The following is a 20,997-nucleotide window of genomic DNA, read 5'->3' on the forward strand; positions in this document are numbered from 1 at the left end:
TTAACTCTTGAGATAAAGCAATATTTTAAATTTAAAGTCATTTTTTGTTTCATCTTAAGTGATATTTATCTATAAAGAGACCTGTTTCTTAAATTCAGATACATGCAGTTCATATATTTCATGTATTTCAAAGCTTAGCACATACATTTTGTTGTTTGACAGTGTGTTAAAATTTTTTAAGTGTCTTTAAAAAAAACAAGAAATTTAAGTAGATGAGTTGGTGAAAGAACGACAACTAATTCTGAAGGATTTAGAGCTACAGGTACATTCAACCCAAAGGCTTCAAAATCAGACTTCAAAATGAAGCATCCCAATCAGTCATTTTTCTTTTCATAGTCTTTTTCTCAATAATTGATGAAGCCATCTATATGATGTTAGATCTCATCGAAAAAAATGAAAAGATTTCTCTTACAGCACTTTTAGACCCATGCTTAAATTTTTCATAAATATCAAACAGAATCTGGTTCATTTAAGGATGTGTCATAATCACAATGTCTTTGTTCTTTCAAATAGTTTTATTACCTTTAAGTCAACTGGCCTAGGACAGACCTGCTTTTGCTATGAACAACAGATGGGTTTCTACTGACTGGCCTACTGAATAGCCATATACAGCAGCTTTTCATTCTCAATCGTTATACCACTGCAGAAATGGCTATGTATGTATGTAAGTATTTATTTTGAGACAGGTTCTTGCTCTGTTGCCCAGGCTGGAGTGCAGCGGTGCAATCATAGTCCACTGCAACCTCAACCTCCTGGACTCAAGCATCCTCCCACCTCAGCCTCCTGAGTAGCTGGGACCACAGGTGCACACCACCATACCTGGCTAATTTTTTGTATTTTAAGTAGAGATGGGGTTTCGCCATATTGCCCAAGCTGTTCTCAAACTTCTGGGCTCAAGCGATCTGTCCACCTAGGTCTCCCAAAGTGCTGGGAATACAGGCATGAGCCACCATGCTTGGCCCTATGTAGTTATTAATTTAAGCATCAGAATTTTAAATTGTGCTCTATTAATTGTCCATGAGTTAAATTGGAATCAAAGTAGAACAGGTTTTGTCTTCTGTCTGATTTTCTTTTTTTTTTTAACCATTTCCCAATTGAGATTACCATATTAAGTGCCTTAGTTACAATGCTTATCACAGAGTATCAGAAAATTGGGTGTGTGTAAAGCAGAATAATGGCTCCCCCTCCAAAAAAATGTCCACACCTTGATTCCTGGAACCTGTGAATATGGCAAAAGGGATATTACAGATAGAATTAATGTTATAAACTTTAAGATAGGGAGGTGATCCTGAATTACCTGGTTGAGCCCAATATAATCACATGAGCCTTTGAGGCAGAGGAGATTTGGTGGGAGAGATACGGCAAAAATGAAGTGGAGGTAGAGAAATTTAAGCAGGAAAAGACACCAACAGCTGTTGCTGGCTTTGAAGATGAATGAGATCATGAGTCAGGGAAGGTGGGAGGCCTCTGAGGTTGAGTAGGAGCCCCGTCTCACAGCCAGCAAGGAAATGGGGTCTTAGTCCCACAACTGCATGGAGCTCAATTTGGCCAACAACCTGAATAAAAATGGAAATGAATTCTTCCGCAGTCCCTCCAGAGACATTGATATCTTGATTTTAGCCCAGTGAGACTCTAAGCAGAAAAACCAGATGCGTCATGCTATACCCAGACTTCTAACCTACAGAACTGTGAGATAATACGTTTGTGTCGTCTTAGGCCACTGAATTGTGGTAATTCGTTATAGCAGCAATAGAAATCTAATATAGGGAGAAATACACGCACATGTACATATAGGTGTGATATGGTTTGGCTCTGTGCCCCCACCCAAATCTCATGCTGAATTGTTATCTTTAGTGTTGGAGGAGGGGCCTGGTGCAGGTGATTGAATCATGGGGGCAGACTTTCCCCTTTGCTGTTCTTGTGACAGAGTTCTCATGAGATCTGGCTGTTTGAAAGGGTGTCGCACCTCTCCCTTCACTATTCTTCTCTCTCTGATCACTATGTGAAGACGTACTTGCTTTTCCTTCACTTCATGATTGCAAGTTTCCCAGCCATGCTTCCTGTACAGCCTGAGGAACTGTGAGTCAATTAAACCTCTTCTCTTCATAAATTACCCGGTCTCAGGCAGTTCTGTGTAGCGGTGTGAGAATGGACTAAATACAATGTGTATATGTATATAATGAAATACCCTATAATTATAGTTTTTATTATCTTTAAATTAGTATTTATTTTAAACTGGATTTTAAATCTTAAAAGGTTTAATGTAATATTAAATTGTATGAGATTTAAAATCCAGTTTAAAATAAATACTAATTTATAGAACCTACCATATTTCTTCTGTAAAATTCTTATCTTTATAGGTCCTTCACATAGGATTGCCAGATGTTGTAAATAAAAATATAGGATACCAGTATCTTGGTTCCAAATATTAATATTAATTCCATGCAATATTTGGGGGCATATTTACACTTAAAAATTAATTCATTGTTTATCTAAAATTTAACTACACTTGGCATCCTTCATGTCAACCCTAACTTCATAGCTTTCAAATTTTGTTCACATCTGATCTTTTTATAATCTGAGGACATTGGCTTCTTAGTGGAAAACCCCAAGGATGTCACCCTCTTCACACAGGCTGATCTATAATTGTTTGAAAGAGACCTCAAAGGAAGGGGGGCTACATTTTTAGATGTTCCAACTATTGTGGAGACTGAATATATGTGTATGTGTTAAAACTGATAAAATGTCCTAAAAGTATGTAGTCTATGAAAGGGCACATAAAGGATTGAACCCAGAAAATGATACATTTGGTCTTGGCAGAACTCTTTCTCTTTGGAAACTCCTTGGTACACATGGTACAGTTGTGTCCAGAAGCAGTGGATTGAGCCAGCACCTGTTAAACACTTTTTGTTAGTAAAGTAATGGTTAGAAATAAAATGTATAAAGCACAGGTATAAAATGGTACTAGTACATTTGTCAAAATTCACAGCAAGTATGATGCCACAGTGTTTGGTCACCTATTGTCAGATTTGTAGAAAAGACAGAATAACTTTCACCCCCACATATAGCTACATGACACTGCTAGGAAGCGTCTCTCTGCTAACACCATGAGCCTCATCATGTTCAGCACTCACTAGGGTCAGGATTTAGCACACTTGGGAGTATCTACAGAGCTAAAAGATATTTCTCTGCTGAGGTTACCAACACTCAGCTCAGCAGAAAGCAGACCTCAGAGAAATGGGAGTGCAGTCTACAATTATGTGAAAAAAATTAAGTGATCTGAAATACACTGAAACATCTGAAACCATAATAAATATACTAAAGTAGGCTCTTTATATCACAAAAGGAGAAAAATTTTAATAGATTGCTCTGGGATAGTAACAGTATCAAAAAATGCAGTAAACTCTTGAGATTTATACTTTAGAAAACAGCAATGTTCTTCTACCAGGCATTGACTGCAGAGGAACCCAATTAGATGAATAATCGCTCTGAGATAATGTGGCATTCTGCATGTACTTCAAAACTACTGTTATATTGAAACTCAAGTGAATGACCACCTCCACATCCCCCAAAATTAAAATTTTGAGTGCTGATATTGAGTGCTTTCTATGTGCCAGATATTGTTCCAAGTCTATTTATTAATTTATTTAACCCTCTCACCAAGTTAATGGGATAAGCATTCTTTGCCTTACTATTATCACCATTACCATTATTATTTCTGTTGTTGCTCTTATTATTACATTTGTTTCACATTTATGGCAACAGAGGCAGAAAGAGGTCAAATAACTTGCCCAAGGTAATACAATTAGGGGGTAACAGAGCCAATATTCATACCTAGTAGACAGGTTCTAGAGTTTATGCTCCTGAGCACTTTACAAAGCTACCAAACTAAGATGAAGGAAACAATAAAGAGAAGCTAAACTGACATCTACAATTTTAAGAATTTAATTGTACAGACATTTATTTACATGCATAGCTAACAGTTATTGCCTTTGAGAAATAATTAAAGGAGAAGAACAACATATTAATAAGTATTACTATGGTTAACTATTTGGCATTAGTGTTCATCCAAATTAGTCATGATACCAGTGATGAAGGCCTTGTTAATAGCTAACAGGATTTAGTGTACTGTGCTAATTATCCTTTACTGGAGACATCTGTCCTCATTGTTCTCTGTGGTCAAGGGATTAAAGAATGTGGTAATTTTTCCTGTACTGGTGAACAACAAAGCTTTCCATCCTTTAGAGTCCAAATATAACTGTATAATCATTTCATGATAGTGGTTTCCAAAGTGGATTGTCAAAAAAATATAAATTGGGGTACATGAAGAACACATTCGAATTCCAGCTGATATTTTCCCACGGAAAAATTAAACTTTAATACTTAAAATATGAATGACACTGGTGTCCTCACTTTTTCCATGCTCTATGGAGTGGAATCCCATGTCAGATCTGAGCCATTCTGAAGGCTATATTTGTTCCTCAAGGTGGAGGAATCCACCCTCTTTATCTTTCAGCCTACTGCATCATATTGTATGCATGCCTGTCATCTTACACTATTTAGTTTTAATAAAGTAATCCTAATGAAATGGACAAATAAGACTTAAGATGTCTCCAAGTGCACTGTGGGTTAAAATTCATACTACTAAGGAAAATACAAACAAGAAAATGACAAACTGACATTTTTCTTACTTCTACAGTGTGCTATGTGCCAGCCAGGCTGCAAGTTCATGTAAAAAGTCCATATAAGCCAGTCACAGTTAAAATCCATGAAGATCTAATCAGATTTGATTAAATGGTATTACAAAACTCAAAGTTTTAAGAAGACAATTTGAAGCATGGATTTAGATCCACAGTTTTCAGTCATATTTAAAGTTATGCATATTCATGAAATGTTTAGAAGTTTCTAGTAATGTTTTCTACTTAACAGTGGAAGTTTAAAAAAAAAGTCAGGTACTATTGGCCGGGCGCGGTGGCTCACGCCTGTAATCTCAACACTTTGGGAGGCCGAGGAGGGTGGATCACGAGGTCAAGAGATTGAGACCATCTTGGCCAACATGGTGAAACTCCCTCTCTACCTAAAATACAAAAAAATTTGCTGGGCCTGGAGGCACGTGCCTGTAGTCCCAGCTACTCAGGAGGCTGAGGCAGGAGAATCCCTTGAACCTGAGAGGTGGAGGTTGCAGTGAGCTGAGATCACGCCACTGCACTCCAGCCTGGTGACACAGCGAGACTCCATATAAAATAAATAAATAAATAAATAAATAAATAAATAAATAAATAAATAATAATAATAATAATGTACTATTGAAGAAAATATCTGTTCTTCATGATAAAATTAACTAAAATAATACATGGAACATAATATAATAACCCATGAAGTAAGACATGGAAAACAAATAGAATAATGGCACCAAATTTCAATGTATTCCTTTATATACTCCTTCACTAAAAACTTCTAGAAAGTGCAATAATAAAACATTGCTGAAGATTTGAAGAAATAAGTATTAGAACAGAGTACCCAGAGTGGTAGATCTGCTACATCTAATGTGAAAGTACAGATTTAATGTATTTTTGAGGTTGCAGCTCCCTGATAGTCATTTAAACCAAGTATTGAACTTAGATCTATACCTTTGAATTGCTGCATTTAAAGTATAATCAATATTTCATTTAAAAAAATGAAATGCTAATATTTTAGTGAGAATCATATTGATCTATTTTAAATATTGTTATTTCATCTTTCATTCTTTAATATATATTTTAAAGTATGTTTTACAATATACTTTATATACTGTATAAGATAATTTATATAAAATATTAGTAAACTAATAAATGAAAGACATTTTCAAGATATAAACATACATTTAGTGAGGTGCATACATTTTACTGATGGGTCTTTAGTCAAAAAGTTTGAAAACCACTTTCTTATATAATATGACAGTTTTAAGAAAGCAACAAATGCACCTTCAAAATAAATGGACTAAATGGACCTTAGAGCCACATTCATAGGTTCAAATTCCAGTTTTCATACTTACAAGAAGATTAATATATTTAGTTATTTGTGTCTTACTTTCCTTGCGTGTAAAATGTGGATAGTATTAGTACTTATCTCACAGGTTGTTTGTGTGTATTAAATTACATAATTAATGTAAAGTACTCCAAAGAGTACCTAATATTTAAGTTCTCAACAAACATCAATTATTATCAGTAGTGGTTATAACACTCATACAGAATTATGGTTCTTCTATATTGTTTTCAAAATTTGAAGTGACCAAAACTACATATAATGTGTATTTATTCAACAATTGGATAATTATTGTTTTGTGATATGGTTTCAATGGACCTGTCAATAGCATCTTAAAATACCAGAACTTATATTTGTCTGTCTTTATTTTTGGCCAATATGTTCTTAATATAGAGGAGGGAAATATTTTCCACTTTCAGGACTTTCTTCTAAAGTGATATCAGCAAAATAATTACTGAAATGGATATAATTCAAGAGTAAGTTGAGCATTTATCATTTGTGTAAACAATTCCTCATTTCTGTTGAAACTTCTCTGGGGTAGAATTGTAATTTGTAGATCATAAACCTGGCTAACTTCAATAAGTTTATAGAAAGAAAGAAATAACTATATTGCAAAGGGTGACCCATAAAGTACCCAGAATATAAGAAGACATATTCATAATTAATCCATTATGAAATTCTGGGAATTTTATGAGAGCAGATAGCTACCTTTTCTTACATTTCTCTAGTATACAGCTGGGATTAGTAAACATTTTGTGTAGAGGTCCAGAAAATAACAATTTGAGGTTTTGAGACACCTGTGGCCTTGATCACAACTATGCCATACCATTAAAGCAGAGAATACAAAAACAAACAAATGAGTGTGGCTGTATCCCAATAAAACTATTTACAAAAACAAGCCATGCTCATTGATGACTCCTGATCTAGAATCCGAGGTCCACAAGGACAAAGACTATTTTCTATTTTATTTGGTGATGTATTCTCAAGGCCTAGAACAGTGTTTGGAATATACAAGATGCTCAACAATCATTTGTTGAATAAATAAAAGGGTGAAGGATAGACCCTATATTTAAATCCCAGGTATCTTTAATAACCTTCATAAAGGAGCATTTAGCCATTAATTTGACTAAACATTTCGAAAAATTACATTTTTATTTTGTCTCACATTTTGCAGATTGTGACATAATAGTATAGAATTAGAAACAGAATATTACATAATATATGGCAACAGAAACTAAGAAATATAGCTCAAATTATCCAAATATAATTATTCTCCAGGAATAACTCTGAGTAGGGAAAAATAATAAAGTTACATCTGTTGATGTGGATAGACACAATGGACAACTTTCAATAGTTTGCATCTAAAAGAAACTAAAGATTCATGGGTTTTATGATATAAATTCATTAATCTAAGACTTGGGCACACTGGTAGGCCACAACTAAATTCTTAGTCAACTAGTTGGCAGGATACTTGTCTATTAGGAAATTAATCCTCATGCTATAGCTTATAGCTAAATAATTGCTCTATTTAATTATGGCTAAAATCCCATCCTAATACATAATCATTTTAGGCATTAAAATAGTATTAGCACTTCATATTTTTAACATGTTTCCATTAGGAATATTTTAATAGTGGTTTTTTTTAGTGTTTGAAGGAATAATTTACTAGTCTCAAAAACAGAATCAAAAGGCAGAGAGAACTGGACATCTGTATCCATGAAGGATAAAGTGACCCGCACGGGAGTAAGTGAGCTACATGGGTTTATCTTTATCACTGGTTTTTAACTGTAGATGATTTTAAACCATGGAAAGGAATAAAGGTGAAGGAGAACAACTGTATGTGAAGAGCATTTACAACAATGTAAATTGATGTAATGTGACAATGAATACTACATAATGAACTATTTCTTCTTAAGATATAAGCAATGAAAAATATTTGTTGTATATACTTGCAATAGAAAACAAGAACAGAGGTTAGTAAGAATCAAACATTTCAAAGGAAGTTTATAAAACTGTAACCTTTAAGGTATAAAAACTTTAATATAAATTTATATAAGTTGCTCGCTGAGAAGCTAAAATAGAACTTTCGCAATTAAATTCAAAGGTATATCTAAAATTATTGCCAATTTAATTTTTCATTTAAAAGGTAAAAATAGAAGAGATATAAGATTTTCCCCCAAATTATTAAGAATTGTCCTTTTCTGACTTTTAAAAAATGCTCTAATAATTTGCTTTTAGTTTTTAACAGTATCTCTGTATCTGGAGTAGATACCATTATCCCCATCTACATATCAGAAATTCAGGGCATGGAAAGAACCCATTGTTTGTACTCTTCACTATCCATATTGCTTTTGAAAACTTCTGGCATTGTCTAGCCAGCACTTCATTTCATTCAGTTAAGTGTAAAACCTCAGTGTTAAAATTCCTACTGAAAGCATGTCATAGGTAGATAGACTAATATACATAGGTAGATATAGTAATGATTTTCTAAGAAAAAAGTAAATAAAGTAAAAGTGATAGTTTATAATGAATGCTGCATATAATTTTCTGAAATTTTTTCTCAAAATAATCTTATGTCCGTGATGATTTATTTCTTTAAATTTCCATTTTAGGGAAGGAAATATCATTTCTGAGTAACTTTTCATGGCGCATCATTCATTTATTCATTCAACAGTATTACTTGAGTGAATTCTACATGCTAACCCCTAAAGATAATATACTGAGAGAAAATCCATAAGGTTTTTGTTTTCACAGAGCTTACAGTACTCCTTTGAGAAGACAGATATTAATAGGTTATTCACACTAACACATGTGTAATTGTAGAATGATAAAAGTTTTCCAAAAGAAAAAAATGGGCTTCTATGAAAGCATTTAACAATGAGACTTATTATGGACTAATGAATCAAGCGGGACTTTCCTTGGAAAGTGTTGTTTGAGTTGATATCTGAAAGACAAATGAGTGGTAACTAGATGGAGGTATAAACAGAAGGAAGTGATAGGGAATGTTTTAGGGCAGAGGTGCTGAGATGGGAAGGTACATAGAACCTCTTAGGAAGTGTCAAGCAGCCAGTGTGACTGAATATGGAGAGCTCTTGAAAAAAAGAAGGTGAGCAGCAGACAGGGTCTAGAACATGCACTTCTAGGTAAAGTATCCACACGTCCCCGTTTGCCTGGGCTGGTTGTCATTTTGATCAGATACAATCAGGAGGAATGATTTTTGCATCAAAAAGAATCTTAAATACTTATTCCTTGGGAAGCCCTGAAACTAGACTGCACAATGTTTCCGTATGAGAGAAAGAAATCAAGACCAAGCCACGCAGACTGTCCATTCTCTCAAAATTTGTAACTCATATTTTGCAGGGAATATTAAAGGGGACAGAGGGATATGACAAACACTTATAGAGAAGTTTAAATATCTTCAGTTGTGTAGAACATGAGCTCTGCAACGACTAAGAAAGACTGATTCAAAGAAAGGCTCCCTCTTGTAGTAGATCAGCTTGGGGAAGGAAATCATGTTACTTTCAGAGGATGATCAGAAGTCCAAAGGTGATTAGAACCTATACTGTGCTCTTGGCTAAGTTTAAGGATTTTATGGATTCTTAGTAAATAGGAGCTTGAAGGTTTTGTCTGTTAGCTACAAAAGAATGCACATAATTTGCCTTAGTGTAATCAGCCCTTTTCAAACAATTGGTCTAAAGCTTTAAAAAGTTATAAATAGCAGAACCCCTGTAGGTATTTTTAAGTAGATAAGTCAATATTACAGTATTACAGTGTAAACATCTAGTAAAACATCATTTTTTATGAAATGCTGTTACTATTTTTATTTGCATGTATTACAGAAGCTTCCATTAGGATTAACTGAGATATAAGTGTTTTGTAAAGGTTAAAAGACTATAGGAATGTAAAGTGAATAATAATTCTAATGACTATCTTGCTTTACCAACATCCATAGTTCTTCCCTTTCATCATATCATTATGTAACATCCTTCAATGTAAAGCTACATTTATAAGGAAATACTAGCGATGAATCTCATCTTAACCAGTTATTTCCAACTGGGCTTTAGAGATCCAAGAGTTTTTAAAAATATTTTTTGGATTTCTAATTTCTATGAGTTTATTCAGCTTTTAAGACATTTTCTACTATGTGTCTTAAGGACATTATCTTTGAAGGTATTTCCAGTAAGAATATATCTCTCATATATAGGAACATATTGAAACTACCAATGTATTATTTATGTTTTTATATAATTCCACTTTTCCTTATTTTGAATTCCAGCTATCTATTGTTTCAAGAAGGTCAAAATAATATGAAAAAAAGTGGAAAAATGTTACAGGCACTGAAATGCTTATTAATACATAATATGGATAAAGGTTAGAGTATTAAAGTGCCTTGAAACACAGAGGTGACTGAAAGATGCACCCAACAAATATGATGATGTTAAATTAAAACACATAATTAAAATGTTGATGCCATTATCCATAACATTTAAAATTACAATGAGTAGTGTTTCTAATATAACTTTAATGTGGACATCTAAAGTACAGTGCCCAAACCATGATTCTCATGATTTTTCTCATTGTATGCTATTTATAGAGGACTGCAAAATACAATCGTATTCAAGATACTTAACATCCATGTCTAGGCTAGTGGTTCCCAGTGAAGAGAACTGGGAATATCATCCCCCAGAGGACATGTGGAGAGGCATTTTTGGTTGTCATATTTAAGTGGCAGTGGTGCTACTGGCATCTAGTGAGTAGAGACCAGAGATGTTCCTAAGCTTATAATAGCACAGACAGGACAGCCTCCACAACAAAGATTTGATCCAACGTGTCAGCTCTGCCATTATTGTGGAATCCTAGTTTATCACAATGCTTTTTGGTTTATATATTCCAATCGAACCATTTATTTTTATTATCTACCTCAGTAGATAATAATATCTAGCATTGGCAGAAGTGTCAGAAAGAGAACACTCTCATATATTGTTGGTGAACCTATCAATTGAAGTAATTGTTTTGAAGGACAATTTGTAAATTTTAAAATCTGTATATACTTGCATTTCTACTTCTAAGAAGTAGTTCCTAATAATTTTATGTAATAGATACATGAAATTATATTGGAATAAAGATTCTCTGTGCAGTATTATTTGTAATAAGTAAACTTTGGAAATACATTAAATATTCTTCAATAGGAAAGTTGTTAAATAAATTAGCACATAGTCATAATATACATGATAAAAAGAGGGTAGAACTGTATATTCTAACAAGGAAAAATGAATATGATATATTACAGATAATAGACAATTCAGGTTTTTTGAATTTATAATCAAATATACACACAGCAGAGGTCTAAAAGGATACAGAGTAAATATTAAGAAAAATGTATTTATGGGGAGAATGAGTGTAGATTGGAATATTCACATTTTTACCTTGCACAGTCTTGTAATATTTGCATTTTTCCAATCTTTGGCAATTTGTGCTACTAAAAAATGTAATAAGAATGTCTTACATAATAACAGATATGTCTAAATGTGGCCCATCTTGTAAGAGTCATAAAAATTCATTTTGAGTAGGTTTTAATAAGTATTTCCTGGTGAAAGGGAATTAGATTGTAGACATATAAAGGACAATTAGAGGTTACAACAAAAAGTGAGTGGAGTTCTGGTCAGATTTGAAAAGAAGTTGGTAAGAGTAGTGATACAGCAACACATAATTATGAGAGTTTTGATTTAAATTCAAATGAAACCTCACAGTTTTTAAATAAAATACCTTACTTGGACATAGCTTAATTAGTATTTGCCTCAATCAAGCAAATGCTATTCTTCAATGCTGAATGTGTCTAGGGGAAACTTCAGTTTCTATTTAAAAGTTAAATTATTTTTATGAACTCTTCTTTATAGTTGTGTACTTGAATCTAATCACTTACATAGTTTTAGTTTAAAGAATTGAGCATTGAAGATTAAAAATATTGAATGAAGAAATAAATTATGGAAATTATCTTCAGTTTGCAGCTTGCTTTACAAAGATTTAGACATCTCTTTTTTGTACAGCTCAAGCTTTCAAAAAGCAAGACTAGGCCTTTTCAAGTACAGTCACAATCTTAACATTTTAAATGTAGTGATTCATAGATAGAATCAATGAGGTCACTGGTTCATATTTCAGAATTCTAAGAGATTTTTAATATTAATGAACCAAACACCTGAAGAATTACTTTAGTAAGATCAATGCAGAACATGTTACTGTTCAAATACCTAAGTAGTTAACACTTATCTGAACGGATTAAAAGCTTAAATATTTGTTTGAAACAACATACATAATAATACATTAGTGTTGAACTAATTCTGTTCTTACTGATTTATATATTACCTCAAAGGCATTTTACATCATATTCCCAAACCAGGCAAGCCTCAGGGCTCCATTCATAAAAATAAGCAAATACCATTTAAGGCATTAGTCTGTAATTCTTACTCTAGAAGTCCTTACTCTATGGATAAACTGTAAGGATTCCATGTAGGAATGATTGGGATTAAAGATTGCTCTATAGAGATTTCTTTTCTGGAGCACAAGTCTTTCTAGATGTGTTCAGAGAAACGGTGAAAGCAATCTTAACCTTCATATAAGGCCATAAAAAATTTGCCCCTAATTACCTATTTAAATTTGAAGCTTCACTTATATTGTGTCTTTATTCTGGAAAATAAATATTATTTATTCTGTTAAGTTTCTATTGGTTTTCTTTGCAATATTTCATGTTTACTTTGTTTTAGCTAAACTTTTTCTGGTATGGTGTACTAGAGACTTCTAACAAATTCTATATAAAAACAGACACACGTATAATAATCATATCTTGCTATAATTAAATACTGCTACTTATTCACTAATATTTTAAAAATCAAGATCTAAACACACACACACACACACACACACACTATAGTTGGCTACACATACATTCCCTTGCATATAATGTTTTGCTGTAAAAATCATGGTTTTAAAATGTCTTTTTATTTAATTTTAATACAAAAATGTAGGTATAGGAATGCCATAAGATTATCCTCCAGAATGTTGTGCATTTTCCTTTTTTAATTGTTAAAAAATAAGTTAAAGTTGTTATTGCTGTTTTTACCATAGCCGTGTTATGTAGGGCTGGCATCATTAACTTCATCTGCATATTAGGAACCCAAGGCTAGGCGTAGAAAAATAGCTTCAGAGAGATCACTTAATCTTGCTTCCTCATTTATTACCATCGATATTTTTAGTGGCTCAATTAAAATATACACATAATTACTGAAGACTTACTAGGCACTTCTATACTGCAGGGTGACCAAAAAGAGGGCCACAAAGTTTTACAGTTCTAGAGTCCATCACTCACAGAGGTTCCAATGTGAATGCAGCTCCCCAAAGACCACATTGCAACTGTGACTCCTAAAGTTGTGCAACACAGTGGCACTGATTATTGAGCAAGATGAATATTGAGTAAGATGCGGTAAATAAATCAAGAAAGGCATAGCTCTATGATTGAGATGTAAACTAAAAATAAAATTTGAATCCCTTCATCAACTGACTAGACTCTGTTGTGCCAAGGAGACCCCAGAAAAACTTGAAAACTGAGTTCCTGGCCATGATGAGTTGGAAGGTCAAAAACACCTTGTTATACCCTCTCTCTTTTATGGTTTAGACAAGGGATTCCCAAACCCCAGGCCATGAACCAGTACTGCCTGAGCTCCCATCCTGTCAAATCATCAGCAGCATTAGCTTCTCATAGGAGGGCAAACCCTATTGTGCAATGTGCATGCAAGGGATCTAAGCTACATGCTCCTTATGAGAATCTAATGCCAATTACCCCTCCTCAACAATCTGTGGAAAAATCGTCTTCCACAAAACTGGTCCCTGGTGCCAAAAAGTTGGGGATTGCTGATTTAAAAACAATAGCTGACTGCATTAATGTTAAAATAGGAGGTCATAAAACTGCCAGAACAGACTCTTTGTGGCAATATGATACCAAATTATAAACAGGACCTGAGGCTATACCAGGCCAGGGTAAGTCATGCACCCCTACACTTTAAAAAAAATTGGCAAATGTGAACTAATTAAACTAAAAAGCTTCTGCACAGCAAAACAATCAACAGAATAAACAGACAACCTATGGAATGGAAGAAAATATTTGCAAATTATGCATCTGACAAAAGTCTAATTCCAGAACTATAAGGAACTTAAACAAATTTAGAAGAAGAAAAAACAAACAACCCCATTACAATGGGGACAAGGGACATGAAGAGACACTGTTCAAAAGGAGACATACACATGGCCAACAAGCATATGAAAAAATGTTCACTGTCACTAATCATCAGAGCAATGCAAATCAAAACCACAGTGAGATATCATCTCACACCAGTCAGAATGGCTATTATTAAAAAGTCAAAAAATTACAGATGCTGGTGAAGTTGGGGAGAAAAAGGAATGGTTATACACTGTTGGTGGGAGTATAAATTAGTTCAGCTATTGTGGAAGACAGGGTGGTGATTCCTCAAAGACCTAAAAACAGAACTACCATTTGACCCAGCAATCCCATTACTTGGTATATACCCAAAAGAATATAAATTGTTCTATCATAAAGACACATGTTCACTGCAGCACTATTCACAATAGCAAAGACACAGTATAAACTAAATGCCCATCAGTGGTAGACTGAATAAAGAAAACATGCATATACACCGTGGAATACTATGCAGTCAGAAAAAGAATGAGTTCATGTCCTTTGCAGGGTCGTGGATGGAACTGGAGGTCATTATCCTTTGCAAACTAATGCAGGAACAGAAAACCAAATACCACATGCTCTCACTTATAAGTGGGAGCCAAATGATGAGAACACATGGACACAAAGATGGGAACAGCAGACATTGGAGCCTACTTGAGTGTAGAAGATGGAAGGAGGGAGAAGATCAGGTAAAATCACTAATGGGTACTAGGCTTAATACTTGCATGATGAAATAATCCATACAACAAATCCGCATGACGCAAGTTTACTTATGTAAAAAACCTGCACATGTACCCTTGAACTTAAAATAAAAGTTAAATAAAATAAAACAAAACAAAGTATAAATTAAAATAAAACCTCTTATTTTTGTTCTGAATACTAAGCATCCTAGTGAGGGATAGCAAGGCCCCGACTATAAACATGGAGGAGAGTAAATGGATGAGTTTATTTGTGGAGGTAAAAATTTGTTTAGTAGTTAATGACAATCTGGACTAAGAAGTGATTAATGTATTTTAAAAAGATGATTCTTGAATACTGTGAATAATGGTGATTCTTCAGTTGATGTCTGGTATTGCCTGGTTTACAATGCTAACTACTTCTTGTTTTGCCGTTTGTTCTCCCTCAGAAGGAATCTGGCATGCTTATAAGGGCTGCTTGCTTTAGTTCACACTTGCAATCCTCTGCCCTTTCGCAATCATATAAAGTAGAACCTGCTTCTTGTCACATCCACAAACAAGGTCCTCCACCTCAATGAAGACTTTTGAATGTCTATGATATATATACTGATCTCTCCACATCTTACCAGTATGACTTATATTGTAATTATATACTTTCCTTTATCATGTGTGTTGTCTTTTTTCCTCTCATTCATACTGTAGTTGGCAGAAGATATTTCTTATATTTTCTTTGTCTTTCTATCATGTCCAGAGCACCCAATTAACACGGTGAACTTAATCATACGGTTTGGGTCTTTACCTAGCAGGATATTCTAAAGCATAGGATGCAAATTCCTAATCAGTAGGTCATTGCTATCCCCAAAATGGCAAGTGGTGATCAATTTTGAACATCTGATCATTTGATGTTCATCTGATCATTTGAACATTTGAACATTCCTACTTCACCAAGGAATCTCTAGTTGGTGAAGTAGAGATTTTTTTTGGTGACATAAAAGTTACTTTTTTTTTTCTTCAGGGACTGCCATAAATTTACATGCCATAGCTTTTAGTAATTTTAGATTTTTTAAAATCTGGTGTTTACTTCTTTTTCCTTTCCAGATACTTGAAGCGTATGTGTTTGAGTAGGGGCAGAGTGGTTGGTTCTGAGATACTGGTCTTCTACTGCTAGGGATCCACAACTCTGCGCTTGGAGGGTAGAAGGATCTGACCACCAGTTGTTATGGGGGAGCTGCATGATATAATTTTGGTTTAGTCTGGTTCTTATTACCATTGCTAGTTGTGGCTTAAGAGACAGTCTTCACTTTGATGGTATGCATAATTTACTTGGTGATCACAGTATTTCATTTCCATCTTGGTCTCTTCTATTCTTCAAAGATGAATATCCATATCTCCATTCAACCCATTCTCTTCATTGTACATATCTTCACATGACCTAGGCAGACCTGCAACTTCTTTCCATTTCTCCGACTTATCTTTGCGTATAGAATAGCTCAAGTCTTTGAGTTTCACCCTATCATTTTATTACTAGGGACACTGTATAATAATCTTTTCTGTCCCTGCTGTTGAAGAATACTCCAGTAAGCACATTGCCTGGAGGAAACTCCGTACAAAAGCAGGTGCTAGTCTCTAGGTTCACATTTGGCTCGAAATCAGGGGATATATGGCAAACTCTCATAAAAAATGCTCATTATAATCTGGTATTCTTATATCCCGGGGACACATGAAAATTCTACAGTCATTCTAGCAATGTGAGATCAGGATGATAATTTTACTCTTACTATTTTGATTCCATGCTCTGCAAACTTTTTTGAGTGTTCCTCCACATCTTGTCTTCAGGGGATAGGGAAACACCATCATTTTTTCTTATTGGTAGAGAAAAGAAAAACTTCTAATAGAGAACATTGTCCTCCCCTAAAGGCCAAGCATGCCTAACTCTGAGCCATCATCCGCTGAGCTCCCTTCTCCAGTCCTCTCACGGGGCTATAGCTGGTGTTTCTCTTTAATTGTATGACCCATGGGAAGAGCAGGCCTAAACTGTTGGTGGTTCTTTTTTAAATGTTTGGTGTTCAATATCTCTTTGACTTTATCTTTGAACTAGCTACTATTCTTGGGCAACAGGAAAAATGTCATCTAACATTGTGTTATATAGCTGAATAATAATAGTAATATGCAAGCATTAGCACAGAAGAACAAAGATAACTGGAGATAAATAATTCACTTTGATTCAATAATTATCTAAGAATTTCTTAGTATTTAAAAAAGGTATTATAAAAGATGAGAAATATTTAATTGTAGAGTAAAACTGAGGGGCCTAGCTCATTTTTTAAGTAGACTGACCCCCTGGTTAACCTGGAAATGATTATCATACAGAGACTGTATGGGAGATAAATTGGCTCACTAGCTCCAGACTAGAACAATGTGACAGTGTTCATTTAGACTTCTAGAAAAGTTTTCAGGACTCATTTTTAAATAATTTCATCTAAATTCTCTGTATCTTACCATAAAATAATCCAAATTAGCCTTACACAAGCAACTGTTAAAAACTATTTCAAAGAATACTTCCCCTTTCTTATTTTAGAGAAGTATGCTCCTGTTTTTGTTGTTTTAATATAATTTCTATCATGCTACTTTTTATCTAAACAATAAGAGTCATTGCTCCACGGACCTTTCACTTGTACAAAACAATGGCAAAGATGGATTTTCCTATGGTGAGAAAATCAGTAAAATTAGGATACGCCATCACATGAAATACTCACATCAGGGCAATCCATAAAAATATGCGAGTGGGACACCATTTTATATTCTTATGTGGGTTGGAAATTTTGGAGTCATAATAAATTAACTCAACTTGTTTTAGCTTAAATCTTGCTCTTGGTTTTTCTTTTATAAAATATTGTTTGATTTATTGTGAGAATTATAAATGAGTTTTTGTGATGAGTAGAAAGTATACTTTATGAATGCCCTTGATTTCACCCACACCATTGCAAAATAAAGCTTGATGAAAATTCTCTGCTTTGCATTTCAGGTCCTTCTCCATTTAGCAGTACCCTCACAACCATAAAAAACTCAAAGGAAAGAGGAAGACAGAAAAAGAAATTCAAAAAGATGGCTAGCTTACGGTCAACACATATGGAACAAAGTTGTCCAAAATATTGCCATAACTTCTCTACTGACAATTCATTCCACTCTAGAGTTTTGTCAGCCCTCCCAGATTCACTGACAGACTATTATATTCAGAAAGACTGTTGAAAACTTTCAGGACTTAGAAATGCTCTTCAGACATACAAAAATGTCTTTATTTAGAATGGAACATATAATGCCTGCCAAATTTGTAGGTTTGAAACCACTTCCAATAAGAATTAAAAGGCCCTCTTCCATGCTGAAATAGGACTATCTCAATATATGACTTGTCTGTTCATGAGAAATAGTGGGTTCTTGTCTCTGCTGTTGCAATTTAGTTTAAAATCACTTTATGATGACAGGGTACATAAAGATGATAAAACTATAAAGATGACAGTCTAATCTTCAAAGATGACCGATCATCGATAAAAGATTAAATAATGTAAACATCTAAAATGCCAAATTATCAGCTGGTTGGCACACTCTGTGTGTTGAAGCATGCCGAGGTATTACTGATAAGCAAAAAATGCTTTTTCCTCTATGTTATGCAGACATCTATACTCCATCAAGAGGGGCAAATGAATTGTAATAGCTTTGAATTTAAAAGCTATACATGATTTTTTTTATATTTAAAAAGTATTATTATATTTTATATTTAAAAAGTATATATTAAAAAATGTATAAAAGCTATACATGATTTAAAAGATATACATGTATTTTTTAATTATAGTATATGTAAAATGCTGATAAGTGATATACTGTAAAATATTCAAATTCTTCTTTTTTAGAATAACACCTTATTGCTGGAAATTTTAAGCACCCTATGATCATCACTTTTTTGAATTGTAATAACAATTTTATATATACATACAAGAATGATTAGGCATGCTGGTCCTATAAAACTCCAAATAAAGTTGTTTTCGGTGCTAAGCCAACATCTGAAAAGTAAATAAAAGATAGAATCTATAAATATGTTTGCATGTATGTTAACATAGCAAAATTATCAAAGAAATGCAAAGCACATTCAAAATCGTATTTCAAATGCTCATGAAATCATTTTAACTTACACTTTGGTTGTGCCATAATATCTGTATCCTAGTGCTGCCGAAAATCCAACTACCACGGCTGGGCTTAGATAGCCAAAGATATAAAAATTCTTGTGCAAAAATCCCTTGTTGTAGATGACACCCACAACAATGAGATAGAGATGTATGCCTTCAATGCACATCCATGCAAAAGCAGCTAAAAAGAAGTAGTGTAGCAGTCCGGCAATGATTGAACAGAAGAGCTAGAAATCAAAGAAAAAAAAAAAAACATTGTCAGTGTTTGTTTTAAAATTATCATAACATACAATCTCTACTTTCGCTGTAAATCACAACTTTCTTTATACTATAAAGTATGCCACTTTATATAATGATTAGTCATATTAAAATACCATGTCAGTTCTTAAAGATTTAGAAAAACAACTGCGTTTCATCAGCGTGAAATATTAACCAATCTTGTGATAGAACTGTTACTGTTTTTGTCCAGAGGTTTGTAACTTTTATATATTTATCTTATGTGATAAATTGTGGATTATTCTCATGTAAACCATGGTATCTTGGTGAATATGTTAGGATTTAAGTTGATTTCTGTTTTGGAGATGCCTCTCTTTTCCTTTATTTTATTCATGCTCAAAGAATGAAAATGACTCATAATACTCTGCTAGACAAAAGAAAATAAATATCTTAGATGACAAAAATAAAATTTACAAAGTAGATTAATAATATATTTCATCAAAATATCCATTACAGAATTACTTTCAACTGTTAAGATTATCATGTAAATTTGAGATGGCTTTCACTTAAACATACTTTTCAGTGTTTATTTCTCATCTTGAGCTAAAGTTAGACCTATAAGAAATAACAGAAGAAGAAGTAGTTACACTTTCCATACTAGTAAAGCTAAAGGTATGTATCATGGGAGAGATAACATAATACATACTTATGTACCTATCCCATTAAAAAAACAGAATATAATTCAAGATTAATGAGATGACATAGTAAAATATGTTAGAGAGTACTCTATAAGGCTGGGGAACAGAAAGATCATTGGCAATTAAAATTTGGAAATCACTTTAGCAAGGAAGTGAGATTTGAGATATGACTGGAAAAATGGGACAAATTTAATAGGTGAAAAGTAGTTGAAAGTAAACACTACACTGAGTAATTTTGGGGTGAAGATAATGGTGGAAGGTAATTGAAATAGGAACTAGGCATTGGAGGATAGTGGGAGATACATAAAATTGAAAAGTGTTACGAATACCACTGCAAAACATAAAAATAGATAAGGAGTTCACAGTCTAGTGTATACTATTTAAAATAAACACTTCTTGCCATCTACTTCAGAAGAATACCTTGCTAACTGATTGTTAGTTTCAGTCTTTGAAAGATTTCTAAGAATGGAAATATGGAGGCAATTTCACTTTTTGTGGTCATGAGAATACACTTCTCCAATCTCCAACTGCAAGGAGTGCAACTGACCTAAGGCTTCAGCCGCAGCTGTAGGAAATCCACTGCTGTTCCCACTTCCCATAGGCTGCTGCCAGCCCATCACTGAGTACAGTAGGGTTACTGCTGTGAGAGAAAAAGGATTCCTCTTACAAAGGATTCCTGCTCCTGAGAGACAAAATGATTCCCCTGACAGGTAACGTTGGCTCAAGGACTTCCGAGAGGACTCCTTGACACCTGTGCTGACTTTTCCTTAGAACTGCATTACTGTGTGGAATGCTTTTGCCCACTCTTCTTTTCTTCCCTCAGGATCATACCTGAATCTTGGTCTGATAGCTCTCCAAGCCTCTCTCTTCCCATTTGCTCTCCCCAGCAATTCTCTTAATAAATCTATTGCATACTTAACCCCATCTTAACACCTGCTTCTAGGAGGACCCAG

The 20,997-nt window shown here is 33.9% G+C and overlaps 1 protein-coding gene across 1 annotated transcript in view; it reads right to left on the reverse strand.

Moving 5' to 3' along the window:
• The window catches only part of ADGRL4 (adhesion G protein-coupled receptor L4), a 116,967-nt gene that overhangs the window by 8,930 nt on the left and 87,040 nt on the right, over positions 1-20,997 (reverse strand). Inside the window, exons 11-12 of the mRNA NM_022159.4 lie at positions 19,137-19,357; positions 18,941-19,007 (exon numbers count right to left, since the gene is read on the reverse strand). Coding sequence (NP_071442.2) covers positions 18,941-19,007; positions 19,137-19,357 — 288 coding nt within the window. The remainder of the gene's footprint in view (positions 1-18,940; positions 19,008-19,136; positions 19,358-20,997) is intronic.

The sequence above is a fragment of the Homo sapiens genome, chromosome 1 (genome assembly GCF_000001405.40).
Source record: "Homo sapiens chromosome 1, GRCh38.p14 Primary Assembly".
Taxonomy (NCBI): Eukaryota; Metazoa; Chordata; class Mammalia; order Primates; family Hominidae; genus Homo; species Homo sapiens.